The sequence below is a fragment of the Homo sapiens genome, chromosome 4 (assembly GCF_000001405.40).
Source record: "Homo sapiens chromosome 4, GRCh38.p14 Primary Assembly".
NCBI classification, from domain to species: Eukaryota; Metazoa; Chordata; class Mammalia; order Primates; family Hominidae; genus Homo; species Homo sapiens.
The window spans coordinates 98,380,441-98,405,969 of record NC_000004.12 but is presented as its reverse complement, the minus strand read 5'-3'; the positions used below and the strand labels follow the sequence as shown (position 1 = coordinate 98,405,969).

The following is a 25,529-nucleotide window of genomic DNA, read 5'->3' as shown; positions in this document are numbered from 1 at the left end:
TCCTTTTACCTTTCTTCTTATTTATAAGCTCAGTTTGTGGTATATTTTAAATCACATAAATGTACATTGTAAACTTCACAATAAGTTATTTTTTTGATATATTCAATGTTTATAAGATTTACCTATATATCTACCGTTTTTTTTGGTCTTTATTCTCCCCTGCATCTATATCATTTTCCTTCTGACAAACCACATTTATAACATCTGGCTTTCATTGTTGCTGTTGAGAAGGTAGCTGTCAGCCAAACTGTTGTTACTTTGAAGATAATAATTTTGGTCATTGGTTTTCTACATTTTCAGTATGAGGCATCTAGATGTGGATTTTTGTTTATCATATTTTGGGTTCAAAGGGCTTCTTGGATCTTTGCATTTTTCATAATTTCTGATAAATTCTCTGCCAAAATTTCTTCAAATATTGCCTCTGCACACTCCCCTCCCCACCTTCTCTACTCTCCTTTTGGGACTCCAAAAAATGCATATGAGAATGTCTCATTTTTTCCTCTGACCTCTTATTCTCTTTTATGTAAATGTGTTCTTCTTTCCTTTTAGTTCATATTGGATTTCTTTCCAACCCGTTTTCCAGTTCACTGGTTCTTTAATTCAACAGTATCTATTAAATCTGCTATTAAACCACCCACTGAATTCTTAATTTTGGTTGTATTTTTCAATTCAGAAATTTCCATTTATTTCATTCTTAAATCTGCTATGCCACTTTTTAAAAATAGTTTTTAGTTTCCTTCTAAATTATTTAAGCTAGCTTTTACCTCTTTGAACACAATAAGCACACCTGTTTTGAATCAGTGTCTAATAATTCCAGTATCTGAAGATTTGCTGCCTACTCTTGCTTACAGTGTGTTTTGTCTTATGTATTAATATCTGATCCTCTTTGAGTACGTGTTAGACATTATATTTGAAAAATTACTAATATGGAATAGTTTGTTTCTTCTGATTCATTCTTATTTCTACGATGCATCTCTTAAGATTTTTCTGCCCAAAGAAGGGAGTGATTAACCAGTATCTTCACTGTTGGCAGGCCTGAGACTCCAACTTTTATCCCCTTTGCCTTACAAGTGTGTAGAAGTAGAGCTCAGCCTCTCAGCTGCCTTTTCCAGAATGGCACAAGAATGTGTTAGCTACAGAAGTATCTTTTCTAAGATTTTAAAATCAAAGGAACCTGGAAAGTTGCTTTGGCCAATGTAGATATAGCTATGGAGTAGATAACATAGCTAAAGTTAGAGATATGCAAAATAAAACATATCACTAATAAAGAATGGTTTTGAGTCAAATGGCTGGCAATTAAATAATATTAGGAAAAAAGTTTAAAGCATACATGATCAAAAATCCAAAGGTGCATTTAAGTTTCTCACCATTTTCTGCCAATGGAGCAAGAACTTCAAAAATCATTTCTCTCTTATCATGTTCTATTTGTTTCTTGAAGAGTTTTACTAGCTCTTCAGCAATGTTTGTACTGGCAAACTGTTCTTTACTTGACTCTGTAAAATAAAAAAGAAAAACTTAAACCAAATAAAGTCCAGAAACTGTTTTCTAATACTTTCAATACTTAGTTATTTTGTACCATTACTGATAAATACAAATACTCTTCAAATATGGGAACAATCAAATCCATTTTTAATGTCCCTGAAAAGGAAAAATATCTAAGGCTTTAGAGAAAATGTTCTGACCCAATTATATTTGAGCTATAAAAAAAGGTTCTCTAGTAACCACAGCAACAACAAAATTACTAAGTCATAAATTCATAGTTTTAAGGATTTTAGTCAAAGAAAAATTTCTCATAACATATTTTATATGGATGAATTAAAGGTGACTTATCTTTAGTATCATTAAAGTGGAATGTTTTCTACACTGGTCCTGACATATCTACTATTGAAGACTAATTCTGCATGAGTAATTGGGGTTTCATTCATTCCTGCCTCTCAGCATCTCCAACCTCTCCTAGAGCCTCACCATTGATCAGCATTTATATATACTTTGGTATTTCTCACATAAAACAATATTAAAAACAAACATCCTCCCCCTAGTCCACCTCTATCAACTACCATTCAAGCTCATTTTTGCTTTTACAAATAAGTTTCTGATAACATTGCTTACATACACTGCCTCTACTCTCTCAACTCACATGCATTACTAAATCTACTAGTTTTGGCCTACCTGCCTCTACACTTAGCAATCTCCTATAATTGTTCCTCCTTTTCCACAAGACCTGTATAAATTCTAGTTCCTTAGGATTCATCCTTTGCTTTACCTTCTCAGTCCTTATTCTCACCTGAGGCTATCCAATGCTCTTCCATAGCACCAAACAGCATCTCTGTGTTGATATTTATACAACATAAATATTCATAACCCTCTTCTGGACATCAGGCTATTTAACTGCCCATTTGACACCTCTACTTGAGTATCTCTCTAGCATTCTAAACTCAATACCAAAAAGGGGCTTTTGACATACTGTGAAATCTTCCTCCTCCAGGGTTCCTCAACTCAGTATATGAACACTCTGTCTATCTGCACAGGCAGAAATCTAGGAGTCACTGCTCATTTATTATCACTCAACTTCCACATCTAATAAATCACCAAGGTCTGTCAATCTACCTCCAAAATCCAACCCAAATCCATTCCATTTCTCTCCAATTCTCCTCTCAATGTCTTTGGTTGCATTAAGTATCCTATTAATTTTTCTACAAGTTTCTTTCAGTGAATTCTGACCTAATCTAATATATACTGGTCTCTCTGGTAGCACAGCTGGCCTCCTGGGTTATCTTTATCATTATCTCTCCTTCCTGTACTAGATACCCTGTTATCTATGCCTTTTCTCTTTCATTTGTTTTGTTTTGATGGCAGCATCCTCCAGCAGTGTCGTGAGAAAGCTACTGTATAATGTGTATGTAGGAGGTAGACATTTTGAAAATACTGATTGTCTGAAAATGCTCTTTCCCACCTAGAGTTGATGCTTCTAATTTAAATTAATCCCTTACCTTACTCTATTACTTTCTCATACTAGCAATTATAATAACTTGTAATTATATGTTAGTTTATTTGCAAACTATTTTAAAATAAATGTCCATCTTACACACTAAACTATAAGCTCCTTGAGGGCAGGGGCAGTACATACTGCTTCAACCACCAGAAACATAGTGCACAGAATAGTCCCTGGTATAAAGCAGGTGTCCAAAATGAAGTTATTTATGAGTAAATGAACATGTAAATGAATTATCAGGGTTACATTCTGCTCGCTAGTCTCTGGTAAATCTCTTGTGTTACTATCAAGTAAGAAATTTGCAAATTTAACAGGAGAGACACACATTAATATGGTTAAATACAGTTTTGATCAACATTTTATTACACTGCTTTGGTGCACATTGTCAACGGATCTATTCCAAAATGACAAAAATCCACTCCAAGACTTTAAGTATGATTCTTTAATGTCACAAAAAACTACGGCTTTAGCTCTTACTTCACATGCCAAGGGGGAAAAAAAGTAAGGGTAGGGTGTCTTTTCCAATAAGATACTGAAACCCTCAGAGACCACATTCAGCAAATGTCAGCACACTCCACCCAAAAAGGAGGTTTCATTTAGAGATGAGGCCGGGCATGGTGGCTCATCCCTGCAATCCCAACACTTCCGGAGTCTGGGGTGGGCAGATCCCTTGAGCCCAGGAGTTTGAGACCAGCCTGGCCAACATGGCAAAACTCTGTCTCTACTAAAAATACAAAAATTAGCTGGGCGTGATGGCATACACCTATAGTCCCAGCTACTCAGGAGGCTGAGGCACAACAATCACTTAAACCTGAGAGGCAGAGGTGCAGTGAGCAGAGATCATGCCACTGCACTCCAGTCTGGGTGACACAGTGAGACTCTGTCCCAAAAAGAAAAAAAATAAATAAAAAGTAAGTAGAGATGATTTATCCCTGGAACTTTGTTGGTTATCCCTCTGCTTCAGAGAATTGTCCAAGTGAGATGGATTTCAAAAACATAAAATCATAGGTAAAGTATATAGACATCATCATTCATCTAGTTACATGTTCTTACTCTTCTTTAAAATAATAGTATTGGTACTCTATTCCTTCCAATCCACATTCTTTTCCTCCAAACACTTAATAAAAGGAAACCAAATCACTGTTGCTATGTAACTCAGGCTCTGTTTGCCAGTATAAGGAAATTATGCACCATTATTAATATAGGAATTATAGAACAAAATCTGTACTTAACCTGCAGGTGAACAGAGTGAAAAGACAGCATGAAGTATAATTTGGACATTATATCTATCAATTAAGTGCCATGGATCCTCAACAGGCCTTTGGCAAGAAGCCTCATTTACTAAGGTTTTATTTTTATTACAACTCTATGAATTTAAAGAGTTAGCCTAATATTATCAGCAGACTCCAGTTTCCTCTCCTCCATTTCTTCTTCCTCACAAATACATGAAGCTCTTTTAGCTAATTCATACTGTTTACTTACGTATTATCTAAACTACATATTTGTACTGCTAGTTTATTTGGCATTTCTGATCAAATTTCTACTATGAAAGATGAAACACTAGTTTTCTTTCTTTCCTGTGTTCACCATACTCTCCATCATCTTTCTAATTATATGTAATTTTGTTTATATCACTAGTTGTGTTTCAGTAATACACTAATTCATTTTTCCTGGAATAATGTTTTCCTCATTTGCTTAGCTATGTGCTTGTTATTAATGCAACTCCAAACACTCCAGCAGTTTTCTAATCTTAATGCATTCACTTTAGATATTAATCAATTTCATTTCCTGTAAGAACTCTCCTAAGCACCATCCCACCAGTTTTTTGACCTAACCCAACCTGGATTGGTTGCTTCTTGAAAGCATGCCACATGGGACGATAACATCACTGTAATACTTGGGATTCTTGTTGGATTTCGTTTTCAGCTCCTATGTAGTTTTTCTTCATTTAAATCCCTTGTTTTGGTGGAACCCAACTTCCAGTGGCTTCCAGAGATAAAGTATTTAAGAAATTTTCTGAGATGTTCATGTGTGACAATATCCTTATTATAATCTCACACTTAACTGATAGTATGACAGAGTATAGGATTCTATGTTGGAAGTCATTTTCCCTCAAAAAATAAAAAAGTGTAATTATTTGACAAATAATAATTGTATATGGGGTACACTGTGGTGTTACATATAATGAATAGTAAGCAGATCAGGGTAATTAGCTTATTCATCATCTCAAGTACTTTGTGTTGGAAACATTCAATATCCTCCCCCTAGCTATCTGAAACTATGTAATAATTATTGTCAACGATAGTTATCCTACAATGGTACAGAACACTAAAGCTTACTCCTCCTATCTAGCTGTAATTTTGTATCTTCTGTATCTAATCTTTCCCTATTATCCCTCTTCCTGCTACCTTTCCCAACCTCTAGTATCCGTTTTTTTTTTTTTTTTTTTACTTCTATAAAATCAACTTTAAGCTTCCACATGTGTGAGAACATACAGTGTTTAACTTTCTATTCCTGGTTTATTTCACTTAACATAATGTCTTCCAGTTCCATCCATGTTGTTGCAAGAAAACAGGATTTCATTCTTTTCGGTGGCTGAATAGTATTCCATTGTGTGTGTGTGTGTATATACATATACATCACATTTTACCTCTTCATGTATTTAGGCATCTAGGTTGATCCCATATCTATTGTGAACAGTGCTGCAGTAAACATGGGTGTGTAATGTTTCTTCAATACTGACTTCCTTTCCTTTTGATAAATACCCAGTAAGGAGACAGCTGGCTCATACAGTAGTTCTATTTGTGTTTTTTTTTAAACTGAGATGGAGTCTTGCTCTGTCACCCAAGCTGGAGTGCAGTGGTGTGATCATGGCTCACTGCAACCTGACTCAACATCCTGTGCTGAAGCGATCCTCCCACCCCAGCTTCCCAGGTAGCTGGGACTATACACCTGTGCCACCATGCCAGGCTAATTTTTAAATTTTTTGCAGAGATGGTTTCCCTATGTCACCCAGGCTGGTCTCAAACTCCTGGCATCAAGTGATCCTCCTGCTTCAGCCTCCCAAAGTGTTGGGATTACAGGTGTGAGCCACCACATCTGGCCTATTTATGGTTTTTGAGGAACCTCCCTAGTGGCTGTGCTAGTTGACACTCCCAGTGTGAGTTCTTTTTTCTCCACATCCTCACCAGGATTTGTTAACTTTTGTCTTTTTAATAATAGCCATCCTAACTGGGGTGAGATAATATGTCATTGTGGTTTCGATTTGCATTTCCCTGAAGATTAGTGATACTGAACATTTTATCATACATTGGTTAGCCATTTTTGTATCTTCTTTTGAGATGTATCTGTTTAGATAATTTGCCCATTTTAAAAATGGGACTGGGGCAGACACAGTGGTTCACGCCTATAGTCCCAGCATTTTGGGAAGCTAAGGCAGGTGGACTGCTTGAGCCCAGGAGTTCAAGACCAGCCTGGGAAGCATGGTAAAACCCTGTCTCTACAAAAAATACAAAAACAAATGGGGCATGATGGTGCACGCCTGTAGTCCCAGCTACTTGGGAGGCTAAGGTGGCCACTGCACTCTAGCCTGTGTGACAGAGTGAGACCCTGCTGTTGAGATGTTTGAGTTCCTTGGATATTCTGGAATAAATCCCCAGTTGGATGAATAATTTGCAAATATTTTCTCCCATTCTGTAGCCTCTCTTTTCACTCTGTTGTTTTCTGTGCTTTGCAAAAGCTTTTTCATTTGATATGATCCTATTTATTTTTGCTTTCGTTGCCTGTGTTCTGACGTCTTATACATAAACATTTCTTAGACCAATGTCCTGAAGCATTTCTCTTTTGTTTTTGCCTACTAGTTTTATAGTTTGGGTTTTACATGTGGTTCCATGAAAACTTTAAGCTACTTTTTTCTATCTCCACAAAAAAAAAGTCATTGGTATTTTGACAGGGATTGCATTGAATCTGCAGATTGCTTTGAATAGTATGACCGTTTTAACAATATTAACTCTTCCAATCCATAAGCATGGGATGTCCTTCTAGTTGCTGGTATTCTCTTCAGTTTCCCTCATCAGTGTTTTGTAGTTTTCCTTGTAGGTCTTTCACCTCCTTGGTTAAGTTTATTCCTATATGTTTTATAGCTATTGTAAATAGGATTGCCTTCTTGATCTCCTTTTCAGCTAGTTTACTGTTAGTGTGTAGAAATGCTACTGATTTTTGCATGTTGATTTTGTATCCTGCAACATTACTGAATTCATTTTTTGGTTCTAAGAGGTTTTTGGTGGAGTCTGTAGGTTTTTCTTGATATAAGATCATGTTTGCAGGCACAATTTGACTTTTTCCTTTCCAACTTTGACACCCTTTATTTCTTCCTTGCCTAATTGATCTGGCTTCCCTAAAAATTTTGAAGGCAACATTGCATTTTCTTCTGGCTGCCAATGTTGTTTTGAGACATATGTCCACGGACTCATGATCTTTTGTATTCAACTTTACTTCCCCCATCCTCTCTAGAAGCTTGTAAGATGTTCTTTGTCCTCAGCATTGTAAAATTTCACATTGATGCGCTATGGTCTGGGTGTATTTTCATTCCTTAGGACATTTATTTGACAGATATTTGCAATGTAGGAAATTTTGTATTTCAGTTCTGTGATACTTATTTGGCAATTTCCTCCTCTCTGTTAACTTTTCTAATACTCTTGGTCTGATCTTCTTATATTTTCTCTTTTATTTTCTATCTCCTTTTTTTTTTCCTTTACTCGTACAACTATTTCTCCAATTTTTGTCTTTCATCTTAGCAATTATTCTTAATGCTCAAGCTCTTTTCTGTTCTCCTTAAGAAAAGTGTACTGTTGCTTTTCTCTATTTATCTTCCATGTTAGAGATTGCCCTCACCTCTTGAGCTGTCTGCCATTGATGAAGTTAGGAACTAAAAATAATAATAATAATAAACTGATTAGGAGCTATGAGTACGAGTAGTCTTGTTGACTGCAAGATTCCCTATAGGGTCATCTGCTGGCCTTTTGTAGAGAACCCTCAATATAAATAACTTTAAGTCTACGTTCTGGGAGACAAATGGGGCAATAAAACTGTGGTTCTCGGCATTCAGATTTCACTTAATCTGTTTATGGATTGGTACTGTGGTACCTTTTACTTCAATTTAGTGTCATATCCTCCATCAAGAAACCCTCTTTTTCGTCCATCCTGACAAGAAGCATAGCATTCTCCTTGGATAGGCAAGGGGTAGTCATCACAAGGTGTGAAAGGGGAAAGAGGGTCTAGAAATCTTGATGCCATCAAATCCCAAGCCTTTTGAAGACTGTGAAATGCAAACTGGTTAGTTCTTGGTTTCTTATCCAGGATTCAGATGTCAAAGGTTTGCTATGTAAGTTATTGCCTTTCTTCCCAGGTCCCAAAATATTCTCGTACAATCCTCTCTCCTGCTTTTCTTTTTTATTCCCTTCCCTTGAGGTTGTTCTTATTTGTTTGCTTTTTGTTTTTAGAGAGTGGGTCGGGGGGAGGTCTCACTATGTTACGCAGGCTGGTCTTGAAATTCCTGCTGCAATCAATCTTCCTGCCTTGGGCTCCCAATCCTTGAGGTCTTAAGCCTTTAAGAAGAAATCTCTTTACTGAAGGGTTTTAGTTAGTTTCCAACTAAAATTTTAAAAGAGGCAAAGTCTCATTCTGTTTATTCCATGTTAAATAAGAATGCATACTTTAAAACCATATTCATGCTATGATTTTAAGTATGAAAAATTATGTAAACACATTCATTGGGACTCGAAGGGAACAAAAAAAAATTCCATGGTTATATTAAAGAGTGTTGGGTTAAAGGCCAATTTCTCTTTAATATTATTGTGCATAAATAACAATCAGGAGGAAAACAATCTTTTTTTCATTATTGGGAAAAAATGAAAACATCTTTAATCCTGTAAAATTTATGAAACTTAATAAAGCAGAGCTGTATTTTCCTTTCTGTCCCAATTCTGAAATAGATTGCACTTGTTAAATTATTTCCATTTCATCTTTAAGCTATTACATCTCATCACTAGTCAGCAAAAATACACAAATTTGTTATTTAACACTTTTATTAAAAACATTTTGACAAAAAGTAACTGTAGCATTTAGTAATATGTCATATTCAGAAGTATGTGACATGAATTTTAAACACTTGATATTTACACGAATCAATAAAAATACATTACTTGTTAACAGGCAAGAAAGCTCACTCTGAAAGGAGAAACATTATTCTGGTGCATACATGTTCCACTCCCGTGTTGATGTATACAACCTAGCTATTACATGGGCATAACTGACTCATTATATAAACTCGAGAAGTCTTAGATACACATATTTTTCTCTTATCCTTTCTTCCTCCAAATGGGGTAGGGCAGTAACCACTGAAATTATAGTATGAACCTGGGCTGAACTAAATTAGCTGCATATTTATCTTTTAACATAGACTGGGGGAGACTAGGCTGAATAGAGGTGGTCTACGCAGCCTCTCAAACAAATCTGCTATCTTAGCACAGCAACTTGTATCAAACTGTTTTCAATGGCTTATTTTCCCTGTATACCAGAGAAATCAGCAAGGTAGACAAGGTTGTCTTTGCAACTCTTTACTTACCTCTTTTCTCTCCTACCAGGCCAGGGCTCCCTCAGTATACTGTGCTCTGCTTTTGTCCTCATATTATTTTTCCTTATTTGTCCAATGAAAACTCCCTGATGTGGTTTGGCTGTTTGTCCCTTCCAAATCTCATGTTGAAACGTAATTTCCAATATTGGAGGTGAGGCCAGGCAGGAGGTAATTAGATAATGGGGGCAGGTCCCTCATGAATGGTTAGTACCATCCCCTTGGTGATAAGTGAGTTAGTTCATATGAGATCTGGTTAAGAGTCTGTGACTTCCCCTTTGTCTCTCTCTCTCGCTCCCTGTCTCACCATGTGACACGCCTGCTCCCTCTTCACCTTCTGCCATGATTGTAAGCTTCCTGAGTCCCTCACCAGAAGCAGATGCAGGCACCACACTTCCTGTACACCCTGCAGAACCATGAGCCAATTAAACCTCTTTTCTTTATAAATTACCCAGTCTTGGGCATTCCTTTATGGTAGTGCAAATGGATTCATACACTCCCATTTCCCAAATGTCATTGATATTACAGTATTGATTGGGTCATTCATATTATTATTCATTTAATAATATGTGGCAAGCACTATCCATTGAGATACTCAAAAGACGCACAGAATGGAAAGTATAAGAGGTGGATGGTTGATAACTTTGGCTATCCTAAAGAGTATCTATGTTTAAAAAGGGTTGGTTAACAGAGCTGACCGACAGAGCTATAGGGCAAATACTTCTGCTTATTTCTGGGGTTTTAGCTTTTGAAAAACCTTTCACTTTTTTCCCAAATGAGAAAATGACTGGATTAAATATTAAACCATTCCCTGCCTTTGACTCTTCCAACAATACTTTTGCAGGTATCTCTGGAGTTCACAGGGCTCAGTAAAAACACTGCTTAGTGAGAAAGCACAGGCTGGCATGGTATACATTATGGAAACTTTAAAACATCAGTTAGCAAGTATATATTTATTATGTAAGAAAAACTTCTTTTATACTCAGCAAAGCAAACATAATCACTGAGAATTTCTGACATATCCATTAAAATTTTTAATTGCCTAATGACTTTTAAAAGTTGAATAAACCAAATGTTTTAATTAAACTTGTGAGACAAGCTATGCCTATTATATATATAGTAAAAATAACTATAGATACTAAAATCAGAAATTAAACTATTTGAACTATCACTTAAAGATGCTTTGTGTCAGAATTCAAGTTCTCTTTTAAAAAGAATGTACATCAAGAATTATTTTTCTCTAATACAAAAGACTGCCTTCCAAATGATTTATGAATAATAGAAATCCTATAATGCTGTATTTTTCAAAAGCCAGAGATCCACTAAGTCATGTGATCAGTTTAGGATCAGAGTACACTGAATATGTTAAGGATAATAAGTATTGTTTAGTTTCAGGTGTGTAATACAATAAGTGGTGATAAGAACATGTATTTCTTATTATGGGCCATAGTCAAAAAGTTTGAAAACTATTGCCCTAACGTGAACAATTTGGAATCTGGGTTTATGCAAGGCACTTTTGGAGAAATGTTAATATATTTATATTATTATAATGTCTTAAACACACAGCAAGAGTTATACCAATATTTACATATTGAAGTATTTGGGTTCAAATATGTAAGTTATTTGTCTTAGAACTCTAAAATACTTCAATATTCATGTGTTCGTAACTTAGATAAATGAATTTTCCTCTCACAGAAGCTCTTGACTGTATGTATGATCCTAAATTAGTATTACTAAATAAATCACAGGGTTGGGTTAACTGTAAGGATTAGGCCCAGTTTACTTCATACGGGTGCTGTAAAGGTGAGTAAGGTTTGATACAGATCCAGGATCTTCTTTTACTGTAAAACATAAGACTCCTTATATGGACATACTACATGGAATAAGTTTCTTAAAGTTTAAAAAAAAAGACTCCTGTAACTCCTGTGACTAAACTCAAAGCCCACCCTCTTCCATTACCACAGTTCTTGTTATGCTCTTTTCATAAGAGGCGGTAATAATGACTAATACTTTTCCTTGACTCTCATTTGAGAAGTGGATGATGACTATTTCTTGGGGTAACAAACAACTCTCCTCTCATGAGGTCAAGCAGGAGTTCTGCACAGTTCCTAATGTTGAAGCATTTACAAGATTTAGACACAAAACCATAAAGGGATGAAATACTCCTCAGCAAACAACTACAATTATATAAGTTCTTATTCAGCACAGCCTATCCAAGGATTATTGTAATTTCCTTACTTTGTACTGACTTTTCCTTAAAGTTAGATGAGATAAATTTCATTAATCTTTGCTTTCTTCTATGTACTCTCCTAAAACTTCAAAAGGGAGGGCCTTAACAGAGTGAAGGATGATTCTGTTGCACTTCATTTTCTAGAGCACCACTGTCCAACAGAAATATAATGAGAGCAAAAATGGAACCATATATATAATTTTAGATTTTCTAGTAAGATGTGCTAAAAAAGTTAAAAAGTAAACATTTTAATATTTTATTTCACCCAATATATTCAAATTATCATGTCAACATGCAATCAACATATGAAATATTGATGAGATTTTATATTTTTCATATATAGTGTTTGAAATCGATTGTGTATTTTATACTGAACACATCTCAATTGAGACTTCATATTTCAATGCCCATTAAGCCACATGGCTGGTAGCTACTGTATTGGACAGTGCTGTTCTAGAAACTGCTCACATTAAAATGTAACAGCAAAGTACCTGCACTCTTTGATTTTCATAAAACTGAAGGCAAGTGAAGAAAGATTTGAACCAATCATGTTTCTGTTACACTTTCAGTATCGGATTATAACACAATTTCTGTTTTATTTCTGCCAACCATACTGAACACAAACTCCTACATTCCATTTTAATCACGGAAAAGAATAACTTTGTCAAATACTAAATGAATGTACTTTTATTCTTGGTCTCACTTGAATGAATGACAGAAAAAATGTGTTAATTAGGCTAGTATAAAAAAGAAAAAGCAGATGAAGAGAGAAGATGAGAAACATTCACAAATACTGGGATATGACCCATTGAGTAAGAATGACTTTTACTAAAAATAACTTTAATAATTTCTATTCCCTTTGCTTGGAAGACAAAATAAAAGTAAAATGTTAAAATCAAGATGAGCTTTCAGTTAGAAAAACCAAGACTAGTGACTTCATGCTTTTATTTATAGAATGTGGTACGTAACAGAATTGATATATTTGTTTGTTGTAACTACGGTATTTAGCTATGACAAAACACCATTTCATTTCACTATGCCCATAATAATTTATTATTAACATGATTGTGGGTTGTGAAGGAAGACAAGAAGGTGGGGGCGTGGGGAAGAAGAAAGGGTAATCCATAACAAAGAGAAAAATGAAGAGGTGGAGGTGCTGAGGCCATCATCCTCCTCTGTGTTATGACTAGGATGTGTTTCCAGCATTGGTCTGGTTTTGTTTGCCTTCTGAATTTCAAGGATTCCACAGATTTTGTTTTCTAATACTATAACACATATATTCATAGAAAAAAGTCCTCTGCCATGTTTTGAGATTTCATGAAAAGAGGATGAAGAACCTTAGTCTAACGTTAGATTCCTCTTTACCTGAGAAAAATGCAATTTATATGAAATGTAATAAATTTCTTTTTTTTTCTTGAGACAGGGTCTGGCTCTGCCACCCAGGCTGGAGTGCAGTGGCATGATGTCGGATCACTGCAACCTCTGCCTCCTGGGCTCAAGTGATCCTCCTGCCTCGGTCTCCTGAGTAGCTAGGACTACTGGCACTAGCCACCACACCCAGCTAATTTTTGTATTTTTTGTAAAGATGGGCCCAGACTGGTCTCGAATTCCTGAGCTCAAGCAATCCACCCACCTCGGCCTTCCGAAGTGCTGGAACCACAGGCACAAGCCACTATGCAATACATTTCAATCTTATTTTTACCCGTGGACATACAATTGCCATCCCTCATGTAAAAAGATTAAAGTCAAGTGGAGACAAGTGTAAATATTCAACTCTGTTACATAATGTACAATGTGAGCTTTAAACATTAATATGTAAAATTAATTATTAGGGAAATAAAACGCTCTCATAAACAATGCAATCATAAGATCTAATTGGATTTACTTTTTAAAATATTGATGGAAATATCTCAAATGCTTCAAAAAATAAACTAATACAATCTAAATGGATTTCTAGCTTCTTAATATCTACAGAAAAATTTATTGTAAGCACATTAATAAGTTAATTACATTTGTGGTTCATGACTAAGACTTACCAAGTTCTGCTAAATTACCAAATGCAACAAGACACATTTCTGTAAGAGCTGCATTTTGGCAGTGGATGCCCAGTAATTTCACTAAGGTAGGAATAACACCCATATTGATAAGCTGAGCTTGAAGCGAATCTGTAAAAACAAAAAAAAAACAACAACAGAAAAGAAAGTGTTGACATGTCAAATGAACATTATAAGAAGAAAACACCTCTTATTTTCCCTATTGGAAACTCAAAGTTATTTAAATTACAGTAATAGAAAATGAAGTCCATTCATATGATTGTGTTGAACATTTTAAACATTAGTTCAGAAGAGTTTAGTTTTGAATCCTTTGAATAACCAAAAGGCATTTAGAAATAAAAATAGTTTGAAGACTATATCAAATCATTAGTTTTCTAAATGGGGTCTTATACCATTAAAAAGCAGGCTTTTAATAAGTATAAACAAACATTACCATTAGTTTTTGAGTGAAAAATTTAGAGTAACATTTGCATTACAGGAAATCACAGAATATGAAAAGCATGAGAAAAGTAGCAAGTTTAATGAAGACCAAGAAAGAAAAAAATCTTAGAATCCTTTAAAAACACTTTTCATAATACAAAATTAAAAATATTTAATAAATACACAAAAATGATTGGTTCTGAATATTTGCAACCAGAGTGTTCTTGATGACTGCTAGGAAGAGATGTACCAGAAAAAAAAGTTACCTAAAATATTTTTCTTTTTAAAGTTTTATTTAATTATAGTGACAGATCATCTCAGTAAGAGAGAGGAAAGTCTGGCTTAGAGAGGTGAAGAGAATGAGGTTAACATGGCCTTGTCATCATTGCTTGCCTTCATTTTCTAAGAAACTAATTGATTTTGAAGTACTAAACATGCCTTGGATTTCCACAAGGGTTCTTCATGGACAATAATAATAGAATACCTGTAGCAAAGTTGAAGATAAATGAACCAAAAATGAACACCAAAAGTACTGCCTCTTAGAATAAGCTAAGAAAGACATACAAAAAATCATATGTTTATGCAAAACACTATAACTGTCCATAACTGGTTCATCCAATGATACAGAAATGCTCTTCAAAAATTTTTTTCTCATTAAAATGATATGCCATTTTCAAGCTAATAATTTTCCCCAAATTCTTTTAAGTTATTTCTCTTTGCAATCTAAAGACTAAACAAATTTTTTTCTCTTTAAAATGATATGCCATTTTCAAGCTAATAATTTTCCCCAAATTCTTTTATTTCTCTTTGCAATCTAAAGACAAAACTTTCTTACAAAAACACGTTCCTCATAGTTCCAATCCCTTGGCAGGGTTGGCCTGCTAATTTTTTTTATTACTCTTTATAGTTCTTAATCTATAGATAAGGAAGCAGGTGGGTGATTTTCAGAAAAGAACATACAGAGTTGAGCTATCTCACATGCCAGTTCATTATTGCCTGGTGGTCTTTGTTGTTAATTCTTCCTGCTTTTAGAGTGAAGTATGAGGAGATAGTCAACAGAGGCTTAGTGTCCCTGAAAACTGATGACTGGCTAATTACAGATAATTATCTGGTTTGGTTGTGGGAGCCCATCTATAATAGAAAGGGGCCTATTACCAAAATAAGAATAAAAAATAAACATGGAAAAATGGAAGTTTATGTTTAGAGTTCAAATACTCTAATAAAACAATTTCAAATTTTGTAATGAAGTTATGAAATCTAAAAGGAGATAAGAATTAAAATATACTCAACTAAGTAATCTGTATTTATACTTTTGATGTTAAATTTTTTTCTGAATATGAAATTTAGCAATAATTCACAACACTTAAAGGTAAAATACTTACACAATAGTGTTATATCTATATTATATTGGCAGAATAGTTGCATTATGGTTATAGTATTTGTAATAATCATGCACCAAGGAGCTTTCCAAGTTAGAAATTATTTAGGTTACTTACCAGTAGATAGGGCTCTTTACTAGAGGGTCACCTCTGAAGATCCTTGTTCTTTAGCAGTATTTTTATTTATATATGTATTCATTTTCACTACTTTGTCAAATACTGCAGAGCTGATGAATCATTAAATTTCAGGTATGTAAGCGTGAGCACTAGCGCATGCATTGAATGTGAGTCAAACTCCACTATATGTCTGCATATATGTAAGCATCACACACCCCCTCAGTTCTGTTGGTACAAACTATGAAAAATCCAACAGTCCAGGGACATCAGAGGAATAACACATTTTATGGAGAAGATAACAGAAGAATACCACTTAGAAGATAATGCTCTTCATGTTCTGCTAACTTGGCATATCTATCACTTTTCTGGACTGCTTTTACAATGTTACAAATTTTGGTTCCAGGTAAAAGAGGGGTGAAAAGTAAAGAAATGTTATAGCGCTTAATACAATCTTTGGCATACAAATTGAAGCAGTAATATTTGAAATTATGGCAGATTGGGAGAAAAAGTTAGCATAGCCAAATGGCACATTGTAGGTATTGCCATAATTCATGAAAATCATGTTGCTTCGTGAAAATGTGTCTAACTACCCAGGAGCCAAATTCATTATATACTCACATACAACACACATACCACACAAAAGAGAAAAATATATAGCCATCCAGTTGGATGAACTCACTGTGGACCAACTGGGTGCTCTCTTTTATATCTATCTACTTCTATGATGCTAACTAAAACAATAATCATACTCAAATAATTCTAAAATTTGTTCACACCGACTGGCAGGCCTGCCATTCTACTTGTATAATGAAGGTCCAGAGGAGGAGAGAGAGAGAAAAAAAAAACACACTTTTACAGAAACAGGTTGATATAAATTTCCACTTCATGGACAAAGAAAGAGGCCTCCTAGAATATGGTTCTCAAAAAGTGTCCCTGGAACCCTTTCAGAGGATCACAAAGTCAAAGCTATTTTCATAAAAATCCCAAGATTTTATTTGCTCTTGCCACTGTGTTGACATTTGTACCAATGGTACGAAAGCAATGGTAGGTAAAACTGCTGGCATTTTAGCATGAACACCAGCAATGGCACCAAATTGTATTAGTAGCCATTGTTTTCTTCACCATCACAAATAGTAAAACAAACTGCTATTCTTTGCAGCAATTTTTTTGGGAAAATATTTTTCATAAAAATGTTATTTCTGTTAACATATAATAGGTTTCTTATTTTAAAATGAAATACTAAATAATTTTAAATATTTTCTTCATTTAAATTTCTAATTCAGTAAATATTGACAGACATAACCCAAATACATAAAAAAAGTCTTCTAGGTCTTCTATAATTTTTAGACATCTAAAATCATAAGACCAAAATTTAAGAACCAGTGTCAAAGGACTACCTAATTTTAAAAAAAAAAATTTTTGAGACGAAGTCTCACTCTGTTGCTCAGGCTGGAGTGCGGTGGTGTGATCTCAGTTCACTGCAACCTCCGCCTCCCAGGGTCAAGCACTTCTCTTGCCTCAGCCTCCCGAGTAGCTGGGATTATAGGCCCCTGCCACCACACCTAGCTAATTTTTGTATTTTTAGTAGAGACAGGGTTTCACCATGTTGGACAGGTTGGTCTCGAACTCCTGACCTCAGGCGATCCATCCGCCTCGGCCTCCCAAAGTGCTGGGATTACAGGTGTGAGCTACAGCGCCCACCAGGGCTATCTCATTTTTATAAGAGATTGGGAGGTGAGTGGGAAACATGGTAAATATTCTGAAGTTCAATGATGTGCTTAGCAGAAGTGATAACAGGAAAAAAATTAGATAAAAGCTTGGTAGGAATCCTAGATTTTGGCACTCTGATATTTTCAGAGAAATAACACTAATAAAGCTCCTAACATCTCATCATGCTTATTTGAGAAGAAACTCTACTTAAGCCTAAGAGATCATTCCAGATTGAGTCTACCTATTTCAGTTACTATGTAGATGTTACAATTCAGTAGGTGGCGGTGCTGTTTTTTGAAAAGATTAAGTAGGGGTCCTGTTTGTGTAGGATAAGTTGATATTCTTATTGACATAAACAAATGATTCATTTGATCATCTTTTTTATTGCCCAAAGAAAACTTGCAAATGTTTTTCAAAGGATAATAGCTGACATCCATGGTATCATGAATGTTATCAGGAGTATGACTTTTAAGCGAAAGACAAACAGGAAGAAATTCTGAGAACTAGAAATAGTTCTTGTTCTCTAGATACATTAGGCAGATTAAGTGAAGCAACTGCAAGACTACTACTTCTGCCTCCCTCAGTGAATATCAGCACCTCCAGGAGAATGTTATCAGAGCTCAACAAACACAGCAATTCACAAAAATGTAACCCAGGCCCATACATAGCAAACACTTATGTGTGAAAGACAGTCTTTAGACAGCACAATGTCATAAATGTCCGAAGACTCTGTTTTAACTGCTCCTGACACACATCACAGACAAACACTGACCAAATACAGATTTACGAAATTACATAATATCAAAATGACACAGGCCCTACATGATCTATGGGGAGGAAGAGGAAGAAAGGCACTGAGGGGGTGCAATACAGATGCATATACAAAGAGATATAAGGCAATCAACGCATGCGCTGGTGTGAACACTTACCTACCTACATTTGAATTTCAATGGTTCCAAGTTCTTCAGGTCACACTCATGGAAACTCCAAAGAATGGAGATCTGGAGAGAAGATCTCAAGTTGAGGAACCTTTTCCCCCCTGAGTTTTAAGTTTAATGTTTAAAACATTGGTATAACTAGATTATAGGTCCAGAAAAGTATGCTGAGAATTCCAGTGATTCAACTGAAGTTACTAAAAATAAGTTTGTTAAGAAGATTATAACAGGTTTACCTTATTCCTAAGGCCTTATAGACAATGTTATAAGATTAAGCTTTTTGGTAAATAGAACTTAAGAATGAACTTGTAAAAACAAGACAAGACACAATTCAAAATACAGTCTGTACATTAGTACGTAGATATATTATTCACAGTATAATGATATGATATTGCCATTTACAGGCTTGCATTAAAAATCCCATCTACAGTCAAATGAGTTGAGCATAGTTGAAACAGTGAAAGAAGCAAATAAAACTCTTGATGAAAAGTTCTAATACAAATTGGCTAAAAATCATTTGGGCATAATAAAGACTGAAGAAAACTACCTTTGATTTAATGACATATCTGTATTTCCAAAAAAGGATATGAAAATTAAAAATTAGAAACGATACAACTGAAGTAGAGCTTCAAGTTCAAGCAAGTTTTAGCTCTATTATAACACTGCAAAGTAAACTGACTTAAATATGGCTACCAAGAGGATGATTAGTGGTTAAAAACTTTATATACTCAAATGTTTATAAAGTGGAGAACTTTATTCTAAGCCTAGTGTTGAGGATATAAAAACTAGATTACTTACATGTGTTTAAAATTCAATTATTTTAAAGCCTTCTTTATATCAAACATGCATGTGTTTTGCACCCAGATTGTCGCTTTAAGCCCCATTATACATTTCAATGATACATAGAAATTTCAAAAAAAAAAAAAGCCAACATTCATTAATATTGACAATATTGGAGGTTTAAAACAATACATTTATACATTTCTTCCTAGTCGCTAACAAATAAAAAACTAGAAAAGATAATTCTAAGGTTCTTTCTGGGTTCTGAAAATAAAAATTGTCTCTACATGGCAAAATTTCCCTTTTGTAAAAGTTTTAAATATAAATGGCAAAATTATATGTGTGAGATTGATGTAAAACAGAAGCAACAACAAAAAAATGCCAAAGCAAAAATCAACAGATAGTAAAAATATTTTATTATTCTTAAGAAACTTATTCATTTACTGTTCTCAATATAATGACAACTAGAGTGATTATGCCTTAATCTAGTAGATAATTTTTCCCCATATTTACTACAGGTTAATTATTTGTTACAGATCAACTTTTGTTACAATGAATACTGCTACAAAAAAATTCTATAGATATGTTTATTCTGATTAAAGAAAACTCTACGCTTTCATCTCAGAAAAAAACTGGTCTTTTAAGTTAAATGTCTTTTTTTTTTTTAAAGAGGACTACTGCCAGCTGTTGCTTAAGCAGCATTTATTAAGAGAAACCAATTCAGTCTCTGCTTTCATACAGCACTGCTGAGATAAAGACCACATCTACAGTAAGTATAAATTTAAGCCTGAATTTTTGTACAGCAAGTTAAGCTAATGCCAAATTAATTTATATTCCAACGTGTATCTTACAAACATATGCTTAAAAACATAGAAATCCCTTCTTTTACAAAAGAATATATTAGCTTAAAAAAAACTTTTCTAGTTACCATGGGGCATTATTGTAATTTAGTTTTTACAGTTTAAAATTGCACAGAAGTTATTTGCAAGGCAAAAATTCTGTTAACAAGATACATCTGCATATTCAAAAGCATTTCACTTTCTAGTTTTTCAAGTAGGACTTAAAAATTTTTTAGTAAATAAAACAATATAGGCAGTACAGTATTAACTGGATTTTACTTATAGTTAAAAAAACAGGATTAATAATCTTCATAAAAGTTAATTTACACATGATGCTTTTCTGGGTTCAGCGCCTCTCTGAATGGACTTTGTAAATGGCCTAAATTAGACACGCAAATACAGATATCTGGCTAAAACCTATTATTTACCTCTGATTTTAGCCTCAGCTTTTGAAAGGCCAAACAGCTCAATGCTTACTTCAACATCATTTCTGGAACCTAAAAATTTGTGCATGATCAATGATTATGTGCCTCATATCATCATATTTCAACTAGTATAGGAACACTTACAGTAAAGACCTGGTCTTTCAGACTTGTTACTATCTGAATATTTATTTTTAAATATAGGTAAGCATTTCATGTAAAGAGAAAATTTGCCTATATGCTTTATATGTTGAAATTCTATCAGTTGAAATGTAAATGCATATTATTATATTAAAATGCACCAATAATTAATGGTGATATACATCTTGTAAGGATGAAATCAAAATCAGAAAACCAATTTTTCCACTTCAAATTTTCACAATGAGAAAAATCTTGAAAATAATATTTGATAACGGCTATGATTAATCTTCAATCCAGACATAAAGCAAATAAAAATGAGAAAACCATACTAAAGAATGAGCAACTCCAAACATATTTTGCCCTTTCACTGCCCTCAACTAAGTGGGCATCTATGTGGTATTATGATATTAAATGCATTATCATAATCGCAGTAGCAATCTAGAAGCTAACAATGCTGAGAAAGTATTATTCCTGTAATAATATAATGCCAAATTTTAAGTATTAGACTGCTAAAATTACTGACAAAAAGACTATAATAATTTTATTTTTCTAAGATAAAATTTCAGCTTCTTACATTCAGAAGTTCATTCTCTAATGGCCAAAGCTGAATATAAATGCCAATACTTGATCATGTGGAATTAGACCAAAATGTGTATCTGATACACCTCTACTGAAAATCAAGCTCTCAGCCTGTTCATTAAGTAACAGCATTATCATAGAAATAGTCTAGGAAGATTATCACTAAAAGCTAACCTGGTCTAATTGGTCAAATTTAATAGGTTGAATTAGCAAGAGGCACCAGACTAACTAACTGCTCTATTCTTTAGTGAAACAATTTGTTTAAAATAACACTTGTGGTAGAACTTTATGAAAGCAACCTTTTTCAGCAAACTGACTAGAAAGCTGTTGGACAAACAGCAAAAATTCAGGAATTTTTAAAAAAGAGAACAACAGTAAATAAAGAACAACAGTTAGTATAATAAAGAAAGAATAAAAAAGCCTAAGTACTTTTCAGCTGCCCAATAAGTCTTCAACACACTTCATTTAACTCACTGGAGTAAAAAGTGACAAACTGGGCTTCAAAAGATGTTAACTTAAATGTACATCTCCCATGTCTTCATAAATAGAGGAAAAATAAAATACATGTAAGGTAGTATGATGGAAAATTAGTTTCATTAAAAAAGACAGTATCAGAACAAGGATCTCTGAGAAAGAAGAAAAACTTTAAAAAAGATAATAAATTGCAAAGATACAATTTTACCTTTTACATATTGTTTTGTTCTTTTTCCTTAGAGTAAGGTAAAAATAATTTACTATTTAGGAAATATATAAATTATTAACTAGCTTGTAACCACAGTAAGTAAAGTTTAAAAATAGTTCTTCACTCATGTGAAGCAAATCATTTTTCTAAACATCTAACACATCTAGGAAATGCTCTTTTTCACCCGTAATAAAGTATTGTAATACTGAAACATAAGGATAAACATGCAGCTCAGGCCAACATGCTTTTTAGTTTTTAATTATGAACTAAGAAATTGTTGCTATTGACTGAAAGTAGCAGCTAAGATTAATTACACATTAAATAATCTTTAATATGGGGAGAAGTAGTATAGGCCTTTTTTAAACAAGTGAATTTAAACAATGAGCTTAATATTTAAACTCAGTTGTCATGCTTCAATAATATGCCACAGGTGTTACACTTCCTAAATTACATACATGGCCTCCCTTCAACCATAGCTTAATTATCATCAGCCCATGCGACAAATAAATATAAGAATTATCATGTAGGTATCTCAGAGAGATTTCAGGAACTACAAAAAAAGAGAAATTAGTTTTTCAATAATGAGGAGTAATTAAAATATTAGAAAAATCGGCTGTATTTGTAGAAATCATATATACACATATCATACATGTATATATAAAATATAGGTCAGATGAAGAAGCCTAGACTGCATATGTTAATAATTTTAGAAGATACTTTTTCCTTTCCTGATGGCATCTTTCAATTGCCTCTACTTTTCTCTCTTATGGCATAGCTTACGTAAAATAGTAACTTTAGTGTTTAATGCTTATCATTTACCACTTTCTTTAAGAGTTATAATAGAATTTTCCCTCTATTTGTGTCTCTAGCACAACAATACTAGGAGAAAAAGTTAAACCCTCAATTACACCTTCCATGAGATATTTATTGATTAATTACATCTACTTACAACAATGGTGACTACCAATAGATTTGTCAACAAGGTGGTGTTCTGGTCTTTAGTGCTTTGCTTTAGATCACTGGTTTGTTTCTATTCAAACGTGCAATTAATTCAAGTGTACAAATGCAGACTCAACACGCTTGTGGATCACCTATGGGAAATTTTTAATTACAGATCTGGTACTTGTTACTACCAGTGTGTTTTCAATGCCCCTTACTGCTGCCACCATGTATCATACGTAGATAAGGAACATCAACTAACATAGTGGGAAAGAGTTTGTAATGGTTCTAACTTATTTAATGAAGCAAATGCATTCCAATAACATGTTTCTCTTCCAAGTATTGAATTTGCTAATGAAAATTTTAGACGATAATAAGTATCCAGAAAAAGTCAATCAATGAAAATTTTCCAAACTCCTATGTGCTAAAACAGTGTTATATTTGAAAACAGCTGGATGACTGAACAAAATTTTCAGTCATCACTGCAATGTTTTGGCATTGGGTAACCAAAGCTAGGAAACAGATAACAAACTAATGAGATTAAAATACCTACAATTAAAGGTTTGAGTTCCTTGGATTATAGAATAACTAAAGTTGTAACAAAATGAAGAAAAAAAAATAGCAAGTTCAACACATTCCCTCAAACTGAATGTCAAAGTGTCAACAAGCTTTTCTACAGCCATAATTGTCAAATATTCAGGCTATTTTCATGAGCCACAGAATCAAAGAGTGCTTTTTCACCATGTGAAAAACATGTATATTTTTTCCAAAATGGATAAATTTAAAACAATTTTTACTAAAGTTTTGTGTTATTTAAATATTATTTTATTTATGCATTATTGATACAACTTCTTTGGCTAAGCAATTATAACTTTTGCTATTCAGATTATTCTACACTTACCTGAGTATTAACTGCTTCACCAATAGGGAAACAAAAGTATATATCCAGCTCATAGCTTAGAGGTATAGAGTCTTGAGCTAGTTTAAAACTTTTGAAACTGATAAATTATGAATTATATACAGCTTTAGCAAATGGTACAAAAATGACTTTACTGAATATTTTCATAACATATATGACTTGCATGTGTTTAGGAAACTTGTTTTATTCCTTATTTAATGGGTTTAAAAAGTGGATATGCTCTGAGTTTTACTGTATGAACAGGAAGCTTCTGAATCAAGACATTCTAAGTTTCAATTTTGAGACTAATAAATAATTTGAAAATATTCTCTTCAGGGAAACTATGTTGGTGGATTTTTGTGACCACTCTCAGTACTTTTTTTTTATAAGCATACTTTAAACATTTTATACATACAGCTAAAGAACAATAACTTCCTAACTACAGATACGGCTTAAGTTATTGGGTCCAAGGCAGTTAACTTTTCTACTACAGCAGGAAAAAGCTATTTGTCACTCAATATTTTACTTATAAATTAGCAGAGTCTTGTATACTGATGTTCTACATAGTAAATACATATAAAAAGAAACTTCACTTATTAGTGCTAATAGAAAGTGCCTCCTGAGTTTCAAAAAGCTGTTATTTTTTGTTTCAGGGACTTATCTAGGTACACATGATCAATACCAAACAATCTGAGTCAGTAAAGATGATGTAATATTTAAGTCTTCAAACATAAATTTTAAGGAAAAGAGAAAGCAAATAATGGACAAAACAATAAAGACGCTTTAATAATTATGCCAAACATACATAAAAGGATATAATTTCAGTGAACATTAGAAGAAAAAGAATCACTTCACAAATTAAGACACTCGTGACAGACAAAATGTAAAAAGGAAGTAGAGGAAAGATGATGATAGTTACAAGTTTCGCATTTGTTTCTTAAAAATACTCAAGATTATGTCTTTTTTATTCGATAAGTTTTAAAAGCTGCAAACTGCAGCTTTTGAAATAAAGGAAGAAAAAGACCATTTGTCTAATAATATTCAGAGAAAAGTTAATATAGCTTTCTAAAGTCTCTAAGTTATTTCTTGGGAATGCCTGAGCTCTAGAAAAAAGCCTACTCTTCAAAAAATATATATATTATACAGTTAGACTGTGCACTCCACATGCTGTTAATTATAATCTTCTTTCTCAGAACACTTCTCTACACACTGGGATACCCTATAATATTATGGGACTCAATCACTGCTTTGGATTGGAAATAGTGATGCTTTTGAAGACCAGCCATCTGATATATTAATACCTCTATACAGATTTTTTTTTAACAGCTTCCTCAAAGAACTAACAGCTAGGTTAGATGCATAACAAGACTAATTCTACTACTTCCAAAACTGGAATAACTTCTTAAAATTTCTTTCATTTATATTTCTAAAACTTTTTCCCATTTAGTGTTCTTCCTACTTCCTCAAATGTCCAAGCCCAAATGCAGTTAAAAGCAAAGAAAACAATATGAAAATCTGACCAATGATTTCTTAATGCAATTCAGACACCTATGTATTGTGGTTAAATTTCAATTATTTAGGAAATATGTATTTATTTTGTGGATTTCTCAGGCTCTGTCCTTTCTGTTTCTCATATTTATATTTAGGGCATTTGTTCTTCAAAATTGATTCCACCAGAAGGAAGGAAAAACAGATGTAACTTATCCTATGAAGACTACCATTTATTATTAGCTCAAGTTTAATATGTAAGCCATTTGATCAATAAAAACTCTATTATCTTA

At 33.7% G+C, this 25,529-nt stretch overlaps 1 protein-coding gene across 12 annotated transcripts in view; it reads right to left on the bottom strand.

Annotated features, from left to right (window-relative positions):
• RAP1GDS1 (Rap1 GTPase-GDP dissociation stimulator 1) overlaps positions 1-25,529 on the bottom strand; it is a 182,475-nt gene that overhangs the window by 37,889 nt on the left and 119,057 nt on the right. For 10 of the 12 annotated variants that reach the window (NM_001100426.2, NM_021159.5, NM_001100428.2 and 7 more), the window contains 2 exons: positions 13,890-14,018; positions 1,368-1,493 (listed from right to left, as the gene is read on the bottom strand). In NM_001100426.2, the coding sequence (NP_001093896.1) occupies positions 1,368-1,493; positions 13,890-14,018 (255 nt within the window). Of the gene's footprint in view, positions 1-1,367; positions 1,494-13,889; positions 14,019-18,466; positions 18,535-25,529 lie in introns of all 12 variants that reach the window. The other 2 variants (XM_047416052.1, NM_001100430.2) reach the window with 2 other exon arrangements.